The 16,552-nt window shown below is 39.2% G+C and overlaps 1 long non-coding RNA gene across 1 annotated transcript in view, besides 7 other annotated features; it reads right to left on the reverse strand.

Moving 5' to 3' along the window:
- The window catches only part of LOC105373999 (uncharacterized), a 51,966-nt gene extending 51,120 nt beyond the window's left edge, over positions 1-846 (reverse strand). Inside the window, exon 1 of the long non-coding RNA XR_924258.2 lies at positions 632-846. This is a non-coding gene — a long non-coding RNA (uncharacterized LOC105373999). The remainder of the gene's footprint in view (positions 1-631) is intronic.
- Positions 10,789-11,988: an enhancer, noted in NCBI's record as "CDK7 strongly-dependent group 2 enhancer chr3:98043469-98044668 (GRCh37/hg19 assembly coordinates)". NCBI's record gives its function as "activates an origin of replication core promoter dependent on BRD2, BRD4, P300/CBP, MED14 and CDK7 cofactors, with strong dependence on CDK7, by STARR-seq in HCT116 cells {active_cell/tissue: HCT116}" and the evidence as "EXISTENCE:reporter gene assay evidence [ECO:0000049][PMID:35650434]".
- Positions 12,598-13,196: an enhancer, noted in NCBI's record as "NANOG hESC enhancer chr3:98045278-98045876 (GRCh37/hg19 assembly coordinates)". NCBI's record gives its function as "activates a minimal SCP1, AML or CMV promoter by ChIP-STARR-seq in primed H9 embryonic stem cells {active_cell/tissue: H9 hESC(primed)}" and the evidence as "EXISTENCE:reporter gene assay evidence [ECO:0000049][PMID:30033119]".
- Positions 13,204-13,263: a silencer, noted in NCBI's record as "silent region_14554". NCBI's record gives its function as "represses an Ori minimal core promoter by ATAC-STARR-seq in GM12878 lymphoblastoid cells {active_cell/tissue: GM12878}" and the evidence as "EXISTENCE:reporter gene assay evidence [ECO:0000049][PMID:35858748]".
- Positions 14,625-15,362: an enhancer, noted in NCBI's record as "H3K27ac-H3K4me1 hESC enhancer chr3:98047305-98048042 (GRCh37/hg19 assembly coordinates)". NCBI's record gives its function as "activates a minimal SCP1, AML or CMV promoter by ChIP-STARR-seq in primed H9 embryonic stem cells {active_cell/tissue: H9 hESC(primed)}" and the evidence as "EXISTENCE:reporter gene assay evidence [ECO:0000049][PMID:30033119]".
- Positions 15,363-16,099: an enhancer, noted in NCBI's record as "H3K27ac-H3K4me1 hESC enhancer chr3:98048043-98048779 (GRCh37/hg19 assembly coordinates)". NCBI's record gives its function as "activates a minimal SCP1, AML or CMV promoter by ChIP-STARR-seq in primed H9 embryonic stem cells {active_cell/tissue: H9 hESC(primed)}" and the evidence as "EXISTENCE:reporter gene assay evidence [ECO:0000049][PMID:30033119]".
- Positions 15,651-15,730: an enhancer, noted in NCBI's record as "active region_20133". NCBI's record gives its function as "activates an Ori minimal core promoter by ATAC-STARR-seq in GM12878 lymphoblastoid cells {active_cell/tissue: GM12878}" and the evidence as "EXISTENCE:reporter gene assay evidence [ECO:0000049][PMID:35858748]".
- Positions 15,791-15,910: an enhancer, noted in NCBI's record as "active region_20134". NCBI's record gives its function as "activates an Ori minimal core promoter by ATAC-STARR-seq in GM12878 lymphoblastoid cells {active_cell/tissue: GM12878}" and the evidence as "EXISTENCE:reporter gene assay evidence [ECO:0000049][PMID:35858748]".

Here is a 16,552-nt window from a genome sequence, read left to right on the forward strand (position 1 = left end):
AGGAAGAGAAAAACAAATAACACATGTTCTCACTTAGATGTGGGGACTGAATGATGAGAACTTTATATTATAAAAGTATATAGGCCAGCTAAGTATATGTTGCTAGGCCAGCCTGGGCAACATAGGAAGACCCCATCTCTAAAACAAAAATTTAAAACTAGCCAGGCATGGTTGTGTGCACCTGTGGTCTCAGCAAGTTGGGAGGCTGAGGCAGGAGGATCCCTTGAGTCCAGAAGGTGGAGGCTGCAGTGAGCTATGATCATGCCACTGCACTCCAGCCTGGGCAACAGAGTGAGACACTGTTTCAGGAAAAAAAGCACAGATAAAGTTATTATATATATATTATATATTTTGTCATACTGCACAGAGGTTAATAGAAAAGACATGAAAATGAGCAAGAGTTTGGATATTCTGTTGCTGAAAGGTCCTTGATAGCTTTCCTCAAACTCAATGTTCTTTAAATATAATGAGTGATTCATCTTTAGGTCATCCTTGCCCTTATTCTCTTCACACTTGAAATTCTGTAAGTTTACGCTGGTATCACTCAGGTTCCCACCCCAAAACATACTCAGCTGTGTGTTTTGCAAAACTCAAGTTTCTTATCTTTTTCATCTAGCTCTTACTGTCTTACCTTGTAAGCACTGTAGCCAGATAATTTTTCATAAACAAGACTCTCATTGAATCATATTCCTCTTCAATAACCTTTAATGGATTGTCACTGCTACCAGATTATATGCATATAAGATATATGTTCCTAGAGCTGAATAAAGTCGTGTACCACATAATGACATTTTGATTGCCTATGGGATGGTGGTGCCATAAGATTACAATGGAGCTGAAAAATTCCTATCACCTAGTGACATCATAGCCATCATTATGTCACAGTAGAACACATTAATCATATGTTTGTGTGATGCTGGTGTATACAAATCTGCACTGTCAGTCATATAAATGTATAGCTCATATATTTATGTACCGTCCATAATACTTGATAGTGACAATAAGCAACTGTTAGTGGTTTATGTATTTATTATGCTATTAATCATTATTTTAGAGTATATGCCTTCTAATTATATAAAAAAGTTAACTATAAAACAGTCTCAGGCAGGTCCTCCAGGATATATTCCAGAAGAAGGCATCGTTGTCATAGGAGATGAGAGCTACATACATGTTATTTCCCCTAAAGACCTTCCAGTGGCACAAGATGTGGAGGTAGAAGACAGTGATATTCATGATCTCGACCCTAACTAGGCCTAAGCTAATGTGTGTGTTTGTGTCTTAGTTTTTAATAAAACTTTTTAAAAATAAAAAATTTAATAAAAATTCTAAAAATAGAAAAAAGCTTATAGAGTAGAATTTAAAGAAAAATATTGTCGTATAGCTGTACAACATGTTTGCCTTTTAAGCTAAGTATTATTACAAAAAAGTCAGAAAGTTTTCAAAAGTTTAAAAATTTATAAGGCAAAAACATTACAGTAAGCTCAGTTAATTTAATTTTGAAGAAAGAAAAATGTTGAAATAAATTTAAGGTAGCCTACATGTACAGTGTTTATAAAATAAAGTCCACAGTAGTGGACAGAAATGTCCCAGGCCTTCACATTCACTCATCACTTACTCACTGACTCACCTAGAACTACTTCCAATCCTGCAAGCTCCATTTACGGTAAGTTGTATAATTTTTAAACTTTTAGGTTGTTTTATTACTCTACCTTTTATATGTGTGGATATATTTAGATATACAAATCCTTACCATTGTATTACAATTGCCTACAGTATTCAGTATAGTAACATGATGTACAGGTTTGTAGCCCAGGAGCAATAGGTGATACCGTATAGCCTAGGTGTGTGGGCAATACCATCTAGATTTTTTGTAAGTACACTCTAGGATGTTTTCACAATGACAAAATCACTTACTTCTTGCAAGAACACTATAGGATGTAATCATAATGACAAATTTCTCAGAACATATTCCCATCATGAAGTGATGCATGACTGCTTGTAACTATCCATATGCTTGTTAATTTGTATGTACAGATTTTGTGATATACATATAGATACACATACACATAAAAATATATAAATATAAAATCTAAATAAATAAGTGTGATATACAGTCATCCTTCTGAATCCCTGGGGCTTCTGGATCTGTGGGGGATCTAGCACTGCCCTCGGATACCAAAATTTATGGATGCTCAAGTCGCTAATATCAAATGGTATAGCATTTTGCATATAACCTCTGCAAATCCTCCTATGTACTTTAAATCATATCTAGATTACTTAAAATGCCTAATACAATGTTGAAGGCGGCCAGCCCCTCCACACCTGTGGGTATTTCTCGTCAGATGGGGTGAGAGACTGAGAAAAGAAATAAGACACAGAGACAAAGTATAGAGAAAGAACAGTGGGCCTGGGGGACCGGCGCTCAGCATACGGAGGACCAGCACCAGCATCGGCCTCTGAGTTCGCTCAGTATTTATTGATTACTATTTTCACTATCTCAGCAAGGGGAAAGTGGCAGGAGAACAGGGTGAAAGTGGGGAGAAGGTCAGCAAGAAAACATGTGAGCAAAGGAATCTGTGTCACAAATAAGTTCAAGGGAAGGTACTATGCCTGGATGTGCACGTAGGCCAGATTTGTGCCTTTCTCCACCCAAACATCTCAGTGTAGTAAAGAATAACAGAGCAGCATTGCCACCAGCATGTCTCACCTCCAGCCACAGAGTGGTTTTCTCCTACCTCAGAATAGAACAAATCGTACAATCAGTTTTATACTGAAACATTCCATTCCCAGGGGCATGCAGGAGACAGAGGCCTTCCTCTTATCTCAACTGCAAGAGGCCTTCCTTTTTTACTAATGCTGTGTCGGGATGAGGGTGTCGGGCTGAGGGATGGTCAGGTGTTTCCCATCCCACGAGGCCATATCTCAGGCTATCTTAGAAACCTTGGACAATACCCGACTTTCCTGAGCAGAGGTCCCTGTGGCTTTCTGCAGTGCATTGTGCCCCTGGTTAATTGAGAATGGAGAATGGCGATGACTTTTACCAAGCATACTGCCTGTAAACGTACTATTAACAAGGCACATCCTGCACAGCCCTAGGTCCCTTAAACCTTGATTCCATACAATACATGTTTCTGTGACACAAGGTTGGGGGTAAAGTTACAGATTAACAGCATCTCAAGGCAAAACAATTGTTCAGGGTACAGATCAAAATGCAGTTTCTTATGTCTTCCTTTTCTACATAGACACAGTAATAGTCTGATCTCTCTTTCTTTTCCCTACACAATGTAATCACTAAGTAAATAGTTGTTATACTGTATTGTTTAGCAAATAGTGACCAAAACCAACAGTCTCTACATATTTAGTAAAGATGCAATTATTTTTTCTTGAATAGTTTTGATCCACAATTGTTTGAATCCACAAATGCAAAACCAACAGATATAGAGAGCCAACTATATGTGCTTGTCTTTGTGTGTGTGTGTGTTTATAGATGATAGATAGATCTTTGTCACACTGCATTTGCTCACCCTGACATTGAGTTCATTTCCAATGAAACCTTGGTTTAACTGGAGTCTCCTCTACAGTTGTCCTAATGGAATCTGTGTTGTAGCCAAAATCAGTTACTGAGAGACTTCTGGACATACTTTAGTCTCTCAGGTATATGCTTTTTCTCAGATAGGTCCATCCACAGAGAAACTTTCCTCCCTTGACTGCGTCCATCCTCATTTACAATTGAAATGGCACTCTTTCTTCAAGATCTATCTCAAATGTTCCTACTAACTCATTTGAAATATTTAGCAATTTTTTTCTTCTTTTAAGGCCAAAATTTTCCTTGCATAGTATTTATTTTTGGCCCAAAGGATCTTGTAGATTACAATATATAGTCTAACTACTCTTTTTGTATTTTGCAGTGTGTAGACAGTGGCTTATTCACATAAGGGCCTAAATAAGCATTTTTGAAATATTTGTGAAATTAAAATGAAACTGACAGCACAAATTCCTAGAATGCAGTAAGAGTGCATCAGTCTTTTTTAACCTTGATATGAGCCCAAGGAGATTACTGAGCCTAGGATGTCTGCTGCAGGCAACTTGCCTTATGTTTCCTTCATGACAATTGAAAATATTATACAGCTAAATAAATTATTTATATTCTTATTACTAGGATTGTCTTCTGGGATAGAGTAGGAGAAAGTATCAAGGGGAAGCTATTCAGTTAGATGTTTGGTATAAAGGATAAAAATATATAAATATTTAAAATAAATATTATTCTACATTTGTGGACATCCAGTTAACAAAATCATCTACCCTCTTTTTGTTCTCCCAAGAAATCCCACCAAACTCCAGGAAACAGAGTGAATATGGAACACTTCAACTTCTATTACTCCTTCCCTTAGAGAATCCATGTTATTACATGTGTCTGTAGCTTTTCTAAAAATTTTTATTGCTATGTAATATTTTCAATGTACTGATGGTTTCCTGTGAATTATCTGTCTTTTTGGTGGTTTGTTCATTGTTATAACCCAAAGATTGGATTGGTAATGTGAGCATCTGATGTCCATTTTTTTTTTTTTTTTTTTTTTTTTTTTTGCCATTTTAAAGGTCTACTTCCCTGATTGGCCTTTTTCTTCAATGAAAAGGTGGACATCAAGCTTTGAGCATGTGGCAACGTGTGTAGCAGGTTAAGTCATACTTCATGTTGGATGAGTATGAAAGAGATCCTCTCAGAAACTCAGACTTCTTCTGAAGCCTTTTTCTTGTATATGTCTAGTCTACACGTACTTGTTCTCTGGTTTGTCCTTGAATATAATTCCAACTATTTTATGTCTTCCCGACACAAATTATTTCTTTATAGATATAATATTTTTTGTCATTTTTGTCATTTCAAGAGATGTTAGGAAAGAGTTAAAATATACATCTGTTATAAGCTATACTCCAAGTCTGAAGATCTGAGAACCAGGAGTGCTGAGGGCAGGAGAAAATCAATGTGCCAGCTCAGTCAGCCAGAGAGCAAATTTGACCTGCCCCTGTCTTTTTATGCCACTCAGGCCCTAAATAAATTGACTGATGCCCTCCCACACTGAGGAGAGCCATCTGCTTTACTCAGTCCACCAATTCAAATGCAAGTATCTGCTAGAAATACCCTCACAGACACACCCAGAAATAAGGTTTAACCAGATATCTGGGCATCTCTGGCTTTGTCAAGCTGACGCATAAAATCATCCCCTGCCCACCACTTGTCAATGCATCTTCCACAGGATTGGAGGTAAAGATCTTTGTTAATATTTACTCTTTCCTTTAATATCTGGGAAATAAAATATTATGATCCAAAATTAACAATAGTTAAAAACTGTGATATAAAGTCAATACATCTTATGTTACATGATGAAATAATCGAAGAAAGAAAACAAGGACTTTTACTATACACACACGCAAACACAAATGCGTTCAAAACAAACAGAAAATACTCGTGCCAATTACATTCTTTATTTCTGTAACTGTTCATGTGGTCAAAGCTGGTATATATAACCTTCTTCCATTGCCCATACTTTATTCTAATTGCTTTTAGTAAGCACTTCAGTTGGACATGGTTCTTCACCTGGTATAGTGACCCAAATCTCAACCACCCAAGCCAGCACAGTTACTTCTTTTTTTGCTAGGGAATTCAGAGAAATGATGAACCTAAAGTGGCCAGGTGGTGGTATGAACTTTCACTTTGGTGGAATCGTTGTTCTGTCTCCTAGTGGAACATTCCTTCCTCTGGAACTAAGACCTCTAGGCCAGGAGAAAAATAACGTCAGGGGACCAGAAGCAAAAATTTTGCTAACAAGATCATTAGGGCTAATAGTGAGTGGCCCACTCTTATTTTCACCAGTTCCTTTCCTGGGCCCAAGCATCCTATGACAGAAACAGTGCCATATATAGGATTCTAATTCAGAGCATGTAGTGTTTTGGAAAACTTTGTCCCAGCCCTAACAGGTACTGCCACATCTCTGATGTGACAATACCATGCTGTTACTGGGTCTTCAAAAAGCCATTTACTTTTTCATCAAATTAGTGGCTTTGGGATAGTAGAGAACATGGCAGGCCTAGTGTATTCCAGGAGAATGGGTTCAGTGTTTCACCTCTTTTGCTGTGAAGTGAGTTCCTTGATCAAAAGCAATGCTATGTGAAATACCATGAGGTGTGTAAGTACTCTGTAAGTCCAAGGGCAGTAGTTTTGACAAAAGCATTGGTGTATGGGAGGCAAATGTGTATCCAAAGCAAGTAGCTATTTTTTTTTTTTTTTTTTGAGACAGAGTTTCACTCTTGTTGCCTAGGCTGGAGTGCAATGGCGTGATCTTGGCTCACTGCAACCTCCGCCTACTGGGTTCAAGCGATTCTCCTGCCTCAGCCTCCTGCATAACTGAGATTACAGGCATGTGCCACCACGCCTGGCTAATTTTGTATTTTTAGTAGAGACGGGATTTCTCCATGTTGGTCAGGCTGGTCTTGAACTCCCGACCTCAGGTAGTCCACTGCCCTCGGCCTCCCAAAGTGTTGGGATTACAGGCATGAGCCACCATGCCCAGCCACAAGTAGCTTTTTTAGTAACAACAAAACACTGACTCTTCCTTTTTGGGAGTGGTCTAATGTAATCAGCCTGGCATCAGGTAGCTGGCTGATCACCCTGGTGAATGGTGACAAATTGATGACTCTGTTGCTATCCATTGCTAGGAAATTAGGCACTCAGCAGTGACTATGTCCAGTACAAACTTGGTGAGTGAAAGTCCATGTTTCTGAGACTTTGTCTATCCTCCATTCCTGCCACCATGGCCACTGTGTTCATGAGTCAATTGAGTGTTAATGGGGGTGGATGGAGAAAGTGGATTTCTGATGTCCACAGAATACATCATTCTATCCATATGATTACCGTCCTTCTCTGTTGGGGTCATCCTTTGATTGAAATTCACATAGCATACAAATATTTATACATTTTTTGCCAATTCAGAGATGTCTATCCACATACCTCTTTCCCAAATTTCCTTGTTACCAAATTTCCAATTATTCCTCTCCCATGTTCTTGAGCATCCAACCAAACCATTGGCCACATCCCACAAGCCAATATATAATCACAAGTCTTACTATTTCTCCTTCCAAGAAAAGTAAGTGACCAAGTGCACCACTCTAAGTTCTGCACACTGAGAGGATTTCCCTTCATCACTCTCTTTCAGACATGTCCTAGAAAGGGTGTCCAGTGATGCAGCTGTGCACTTTCTGGGGAGTCTGCATATCCTATAGAAATGTCTGTATCTAGGCTCCAGTCTTCTCTTCCTCTTTCAAATGCTCACAGAGAACAACTCAGGAGTCCATTGGTACAAGCCAAGAGAGAAAAGGCAGTGTAGCAGAAGTGGGGACCATGTGCATTTGGGCCATTTTTTATGTAATAATACACTTTTATCCTCAGAACCTGCTTAGACTCAATCATGTATATATCACTGCTATTTGACGTTAGAGTGTTGCTGTGTATCCTAAATCATACAGCTTATTGGGTCAGAAAACACTCCGTTCATGATTTGCAGCTCATGTCACATAGTAAATTGGTGGTCCATAGTTAAGTGTTCAGTCTCTACTAATGCCCAGCCAGTAGCAGAACAAGAGCTGTTTCTCAAAAGAAAAATAGTTATCTATGAAGGATGGCAAGGTTTTGCTTCAAAATTCAAAGGGCTTGTGCTGTGATTCATCAGTAGAGGCATGTCAACATCTCCAGACAGCATCCCTTTATGCCTCTCACCCTTCCAGTACCATTAGATCTGTGGGATCATATGGCTCAAGAGGCAGAGCATCTCCCACAGCAGCCCAGACCTATTATAGAGCCTTTCCTTTTTCGTACCGTTTTCAAAACTAACAGCTTTTCAGGTCACTAGGTAAGTGGAATAAAGTAATACAACCAAAAGGGCAATATGTTAATTCTAGAATCCAAAAGGGCCCAGTAGAATATGTTTCTCTCATTTGATTGTAGGAAGAGCCAGATTTCACTTGAAAAGGGATATCATCATATGTTTCACACCACTGGAGCCCTGGAAATTTTACCAAGGTAGAAGTCTCCTGATTTTTGTCAGATTAATTTCCCATCCTTTGTTACACAAATGTCTAACCAATAAGTCCAGAGTAGTCACTATTCTTGCTCATTAGGTACAATCAGCATAATGTCATCAGTGTAATGAATCAGTGTGATACCTTGTTGTTGAAGATAGGCAATCATGAAGAAATATTTACACATTCCATATCTGTAAAAAGACTTGTATCCAGAATATATGAAGAATTCTCAAAACTAAATAATAAAACAAATAATTTAATTGAAATATAAACAAAAGGATTATGCAGACACTTCAGCAATGAAAACAAACAGATGTCAAATAAGGACAGAAAACGATACTCACTATCATTAGTTACCAGGGAAATGCAAATTAAAACCACAATGAGATGCCATGACCCAATCATTTGAAAGACCAAAATTGAAAAGACTACCTATTGTCAGTGCAGAACTATAGTGCTTTTGTACTCACAGATAGGCAACAAAATGAGTTAGGAGGTAATCATACAAAATTTAAGAGGGCAATACATTTAAGTCAAGTTTTGGTCATGTTAAAAGCTACTTCTGCACATCACGCTGCTTACTCCACACTTCCGCAGAGGTTTCACACTGACTCCTCTTTATTATTTTCTTCTGCTTCTTTGTCTTTTACTAGCAAAATCTTAAGAAAGGAGGATAATTGATTAATGAGTCTACCATAAAACATGCCCTATGCTTTCTCCCAGTGTCTTGCCAGCCATAACCCAAGTTTAGATTGAACATTTTTTATTGTAGAGATAGTTACATATCATTATTCATTTATAAAGTCTAAATGTCACAAATGAGTGAACTGTTTTATTTTTCTAAGTGAATGTTTGCTGAATACTTTGTTAAAGATAAAAATGCAAATCTAAACATGTTACCACTACACTTACAATTTCCCCATAGTTTTCCTTTCTTCGTGTAAAGAACAAAGTCCCTGACCTAGCTCCCAAGAGCTATGCAGGCCCATTCATACCACCTCCCTGGCCTCATCTGGCTCCTCCCTGCTTCTCTCTCTGATTGTCAGCCACATTTATAATTTTTTGTTTCTCAATGATCTAGCCTCTCTGGTAATCTAAGTCCTCAATGATGAAGGCCCTGTGGATAGCAGGCATCACTTTGTTAGACAAGAAGATTCTGAGCCCCACGCCAGAACTACTGAAACCAAATATGCATTTTAACAAGATCTCCAAAATATGTACGGACATTGAAATTTGGGGAACAGAGACCTAGGCCACCTCCCACTGTGGTCTTTGTTTTCTCTTTCTCTTTGATCTTTGCTAATAAGATTTTTCATCAGATTTCAACTCAAAGTTGGGAACTAGTGATATGTCTGGAATTTAATTTGCAGTTTTCATGAGGACACTTTCATTTGGAGTTGGCTCCTGAGGGTAATCTAGACTTTCAGCCTTATTAAAATCATGATTTGATTAACTCAGACAAGACTGCCTAATCAAAGACCACAGGGAAAGGAATATTATATATAATCCGAGGTTTACATAAACATGTGGGAAGTGTCATCTATGGTAGAAAATAGTGGCACAAAGTGCAATTTCAGTTTCAATTGTTAAACTAGACCCATATACAATGACTTGATGTTTATGGTTTCAAAGTCTATAATGCCCTGTGGGACAGCCTAGACTTCTTATACACATTCAAATTTATAATGCCCAGTAATACATCTTAACTTGCCCTAAAGGGAACCCTTGGGTGCTATTAGAGGAGTTTCAGTTCTCCTCCCTCTTCTGTCAAAAGCACATGGTAGTACATGCAATTGGTTGACTCCTCCACTTAAAGCAAATTTATATAAATGACATTTTTCTGAATGTGGGAAATGAAGCCTCCATAGCAAATTTATGTACAAAGAATTGCTACCTGTGTTATTGTCATTCCTGTACTGTTGTATTTTTTTCTACTTTAGAAAACCTAATACTTTTAAAGGATTTTGACCATTTCTTTCAAGATATGGGTAAGACAGAAATGATTTATATAATATTTGTTATTCTTTACATATAAGATTGAAAATGCTGTTTAATTTATAGTAAATTTAGATTGGGTTTACAAGATGCCAAAATAGCCAGATGTAAGACGTCAAAGCTATTAGTGAATTATCTATTTTATTTTCATGAACTACAATCTGAATATGCAAAATAGCTGCAAAGGTAAATTAATTTCTCTAATTATATTTTCTCACCTCTTACTTTCACTATAATGACTTTTTAAGAGATGTTGTGGTGAACTAGAACTTTAAACAATTTAAAACTGGGTTTAAAGACTTGGGTCCTAATGCTTCTTATATGGAAATCTTTCTGATAACTTTATAAAAAGACTCATTCTGTATCATAAACCACAACTCTGGTTAACACTTTTAGCTAAGTCATTTAAATATTAACTCTTCTATCCTTCCATGCACTTCTTTCTATTATTTTATTGATTATTTAATATATAGTGGAAAATATGCAGAAAATACACCTTCGCTACTCTAATACTATTTCCAGTATTTATGACATAATAAGTAACCCCAAACAAAATGAATTAAAGAATTCTCAATTATTTACTGATTTGGGATTATACAGAGGAAGACCTATTCCAAATAAAAATACGTTTAGCAACTGGAATTATCAGCACCGCTTATTATATCCTAAGTAAGATTCAAGGCTTTGGCTCAACTTTCTTTTGCTAATAAAAATGGGGGAGAAAAAGTTGCTTTCAAGTAAAACCGGCAGAATTACTAGAAAAAGTCTGTTTTAATAACTAATCACAATGATAACCTTTTAAATATGGAAAGAACTTTCAGATAATGCTAATATATTAATAAAAAACTTGAAGTTTGTAAAGTAAAACTTAAAGTCAGATCTCCCTTTCAAACACAAATTCTGCTCAGAAAATGAACTTTGAAATTTGAATTAAAAGAGAAGAAAAGATTCCCAGAGTTGACACTTTAACACCAAAGTTAGTGATACAGGAGCTAAGAAGAAATTATTTAGGCAGACAGTGAGGGTAAAGGAGTCCTGGGCAAGGCTTCCCTTTTAATAAAAAGCAGCCCCCAAATCATTTCTTTTCTAACAAAGAGCAGCCTGAAATATTAAGCTGCAAACATAGATAAGCAACCTGGAAGCTTGCATAGATAAATGCTGGCGGCTGTGCCGACAGGAATAGGCTACCTGGGAGCCAGGCATGTTCAACATGGAGGCGCCATCTTCCGTTTTCTTTGCTTTTCTTCGTCACCACGTGTGCAGTCAGGGAGTAGGCAACGTGGTGCCAGCCAGGTAGAGAACTTATATACATAGTAAAAGATTAGGGTGGGGCGGCCAGCTTCTTTGCAGGCTATCCAAACAGCACACCTGGCCTGACCAATCTCTCGTGCCCTATGTAAATCAGACGCTGCCTCCTCAAGCTCCTCTACAAAACCCTGTGCACTTAACCATGAAACTGGCAACCCATTTTTCTCCGGGACCCCTTTCTGCGCAGAGAGCTCTTCTCTTTCTTTTGCTTTTAAACTTCTGCTCTTAACTTCACTCTGGTGTGTCCGCGTCCTTGTTTTCCTTGGCATGAGGCAACGAACCTCAGATATTACCCCAGACAAACAATGCCGCTTCATTAGGATAAATATTTATCTTAAAGCCTTTGAGCCTTTCCATTTTTTTCCACTTCAGTCTTTCTCTGGTATTTCCCCTCTGCTTCTCTGGCTTGTCTTTCCTGCACTTTTCCATTTACGACCCCATAATTCTCTGCTTATTTCTCTGTTCTCCATCTTGTTTTCTTTTCACCTACCCAAATTCTCTTTCCACTTCTCTGTCCCCTTTCTCCTTTAAATGTATTCCTCTCCTCTCTTCCTTTGAAAACTTTTATTAAATTGTTCTATGGGAAATTCTTTTTTACATTTGTCTATGGGCAGTAAAAACATGCCAACCATTCTTCACATTTCATGGAGCTTTCTGTAGCATTTTCCATTGTTTCCCATTTATTTTGAATTACTCTCTGACCTTAACTCTGACGCAAGTGCTCTACTAACATCACTAAAAATCTTTTAATTTTCACACTCAAAGATCTCTTCTCACTCCTTGTCTTGCTGTAGCATTTTTTTTTGGCATTTAGCCCTGTACTATATTTTGTCTTTCTTTAGTATCCTTCCCTCTTTATGTCTACAACTCTCAGCTTTCCAGTTTCCCTCCTGCTTCTCTGATCACTTCCTTCAGTATCTTTTTCTGGTCTCTTTGTTGTCTCTCTTTTGTTTGAGCCAGGATTCTCAGTTACAACAGGAAGTAAGTTTATTACATGGAAATCTGTCTAAAATAGAAATGCTAAGGAAGTTGGAGGATCAGCTGGAAAAATAGGCAGAAACAGAAGGAAGCAAGACAGCCAGTCAACAGCTAAAGCCACGTTCCAACACTAGCTGATGAGGGCTGTTCTTCCTGCTGCTGAACTTGGGTGCCACAGCCTCCACTGCTGATGCCACTGTTGCCAAAGTCAAGGATGCATTAGCTAGAGTCTTGTCATTGCTGCCTTTGCTACCAAATTCTCTTTTGTTCCTGTACCTTTATCTTCCCTCTCCAAATTGCAAAACTATGGAGGGTTGGTTTTTAAACCGTCTTTGCAGAAATTATAACAGTAAGAAAATTATGGCAGTAAAAGAGATCTATCTAACCCACCTCCCATTATGCCTTTCCCTTAATTATTCCTGGGATTTTGGGCTGAACTAACTTTGACAGACATTTAGTTAATAGTTTAAATGATAATAGGCCTTCCCCAAAACTCAACAACCTTTGTAAAGCTAATGAAAGGCCCTCAGGTTGGGGGAGGAGAGGAATCTGAATTCTGCTAAGGTATAGACATAAATGATTGCCAACCATTCCTGCAAATAATACCAGTATTGTAGATTGGCCTTTTGAGATATCTTTTCAGGTTTTTTTGCATGTCTGACACCCATGGCTCCACCTGGACCCACCAACCCATCTCCTGTGGCCCCACTCAGAGTGATTCAATGCACAGAAGGACAGCTTCAAACCCCTACGATTTCATCTCTGACCCAACACATCAGCAGTAAGCACCCATTACCTGGCCACCCCCACTCCTTCCCCCAAACTGCCACTGAAAAACCCCTAACTACAGGCCTTTGGGGAGATTCATCTGGGTACTAACTTTGTCTCCCACATAGTGTAGCTGGCCTGATGTCTATTAAACTCTTCCTTTACTGCAATGCCATCATCTCTGTGAATTGATTTTGTTTGTGCAGCAAGCAGGAAGAAGCCCTCTGGCAGTTACAATTTGACTGGCCAAACTCAGATCAAGTGTTTCACTCTAGGTGCAAGATAAATGTGAAAGTGTGTTTCTACCTCTCTGGTTTCTAGAATGGGTGGTAACTTCTTCCCACCACCAAGACACATGTAGATGAAAAGGGGATGGCTAATAATTCTAATAAATGAGGCATATACATATTATCACCTCTGTAATACAACTTCCTTGAGTTTTTCCTTCCACTTTGTGTACTCTCCAATTGCTAGGTCTTCCATAATGATTCCTTCATCTACTCCAAACCAAGTCATTATTTCTAGTAAGTTCCAGTAAATTCATACTACTAAGTTCATCTGACCTGGATATTCAGATGATTCTCTGTTTGAAATGCTTGTTCCCGTGCCATAAAGAAATAGCACTTGAACATAAATTTAATTTATTTAGTAAGGTCATTTTTACTTCCTGTAGAAACGGTACACTCACCAGCAGTTCTGCCACAAGAGTACACCAAAAAAAGGAGATGCATCCTGACGCATCCACCCTACTGCTGTGTCGGGTTTCCGTGGGCTGGAACAGGACCTCACATTCTGTATTTGTCCCGATTGGCTAGCAACTTAGAACTTTTTAAAAGAGGCAAAGGTAGAGGAGAACAAAGAAAGGAGGAAGTCACTTGTGGAATGTTGAGAAAGGTAAAAACACTTTTAAATAAGGAAGAGGAACAGGCTATGACCTAACGCTTGCTTGGACCAGTATAAGTATGCCAGGGCAAATATTTAGGCTAAATTGTGGAAGCTAAGAACATAAAGTACGTTGATTTCTTTATTATGGCTAGCAGATATTTAAGAATGTTAGCACAGGTCTTTGAATACATTTTGCTTCTAAGAGAAGTTACTATTTATTCCTAATTAGACGGGGAGGAAAGTCTTTGAAGAGGAACCTCTGCTTTACTTTTTACATTCTCCTTCCACAAATTTGCCAATGCATCTGAGCTCTCAATCTGCGTTTTTGATGGCCATCTGCCCAGCCCATATAATTCCATTCTCCTTCATTGGTCACCCCCTACATATCCAAAATGTCATTAAGTCCTTATGACACTACATTTTAAATTCTTTTGAATCTATTGCCTTGTCCTCCTTATCACCCCCAAAGTCATATCACACAAGGACTAAGCACTTTGCATGCATTTGAGTCACCTGGGGAGCATGTTAAAAATGGAGACTTTTAGGCCTCCTTGTTGAACTACTATTTCTACAGTAATACCTTATAATCCATATTTTGCACAAAAAAAGGTACCCAGTTTATTCTGATATATAATCTTGTCTGAGACACATTGGACAATAGTAACTAAGTTTCCTTGTTAGTGTGCCTGATTCCAGTTTCCCTTTCCTGAAGGCTATTTGGCACAGTAAAAGGTATTTAATTTTTAAAAATTTAGGTTTTACCAAGGTGGCCAACTAGATGGAGCTGAAGTGCTACTCCCACAGGAAAAGACAATGATTTCAACTACACCAACATAATTTGAACAGATTATTTGCAGAGAAAATGCCAAATATGGATACAGAAAAGATGCAGTTGCTGAGGCTGAAGAGGGAGGGAGCTGGGAACTCCTCATGGGATGCCTGAATGTTATAACTGGTTCCCAGCCCTGAACAGCACCTGAGGAAGCGGTGCGTGAGAGGACTGGAGGACTGCCCACTCTCACCACAAACCTCTGGGAACCTAATACAGGGGCCCCACACCCCTAGGATGTGTGAGCTGGCAAGGGGGATCTCTCAGAGATTAGATGGAGCAGAGCACAGGTTAGCTCCAGCAGAACCCAGTCATGAAAGCCCACCAGCCAGGGCTGCCTGTCTGCCTCTGAGAAAGTCTAGCCCCAGGTAACCCCTGGGAGAAAGCAGGGCCTGCTTCCCCGTGGGCCTGGGGCACATCTGTTCTGCAGGCTGACTGAGCACCAGACCCTCCCAGAGCCCCTGCCTGGCTGCCTGGAAGGAGCAGTTACACAGTGCAACCTCCACTACCCAGCCTAGATGCTTTGCTCCACCTGAGTGCGTTCCAGCTGGGAGCCATTGCAATCACGCACCACACCTGGAACCCAACCCTGAGCATCCGAAGGAGGGAGCTGAGAACAGGTCCTGGCGCCCCAAGGATGTGGGCTCAGGAGTGCCAAGGTGGAATCTGTGCTTTGCACTTGAAAGGAGGAGGATCCCACACTCTCTCGGAAGACTGAGAGGGCTGAGTTGCACAGATTCGAAGGCTGGTGTGGGACCTAGCTGTGTCTGGCTCCACAGGGCTGGTCTGGTAAGGGTGCAGCCTATCTCCCTACCTGGCCTCTCCCTAAGGGAGCCCCATGGCCTGAAAGACTTAGCAACAACAATGACAACAACAAAAATCTTAGGCAGAGTGCCAGCAATCGGAGGTGACTTCCCAAGGCCCACGAGCAGACCTGGTGAGGGGATCACAGCTCTTCCCTTGCACCACAGAACAGATAAAAAAACGTGAAGATACACAAAGGAACTGCATGACTAAAGCCTGTTTACTGTCCATTGCCTTCAGGCGCCATCTGCTGGATCACATCCCTAACCACACCACCAAAAATTATTCTCCCTCCCGGAGAAACTAAGAGCAAGAATTCAACAGATCCTATTCAGCAAGAGATCCTGTCTCAGCAAGAGATCCTATTCAGAGCCTTAGCCCTCTGAAAACTTCCAGAAACTAAGCCAATTTGGTATATTCACTTTATACCAAAATTAAAGGAATACCACCACTTCTAGATGATAAAGAATTAGTACATGAACTCTGGCAATTCAAAAAGCCAGAATATCCCCTTACCTCCAAATGACCTTACTATCTCCCCAGAAATGATTCTTAACTAGCCTAAATTGTCTGAAATGACCATACATTGAATTCATAATCTGAATGGCAAGGAAGCTTATCTAGATTGAGAGAACATTGAAACTCAATCCAAAGAAGCCAGGGAATACAGTAAAATGATTCAAGAGCTAAAGGATGAAATCCCCATTTTAAGAAGGACCCAAAGTAAACTTCTGGAGCTGAAAAATTCACTATGAGAATTTCATAATATAATTGAAAGTATTGCCAGCAAAACAGATCCAGGTGAGGAAAGAATCTCAGAGCTCAAAGACTGGGTCTTTGAATCAACTCAGTCAGACAAAAATAAAGCAAAAAGAATTAAGAAAAATGAGCAAAACCTCCAAGACATATGCT

The sequence above is a fragment of the Homo sapiens genome, chromosome 3 (assembly GCF_000001405.40).
Source record: "Homo sapiens chromosome 3, GRCh38.p14 Primary Assembly".
Taxonomy (NCBI): Eukaryota; Metazoa; Chordata; class Mammalia; order Primates; family Hominidae; genus Homo; species Homo sapiens.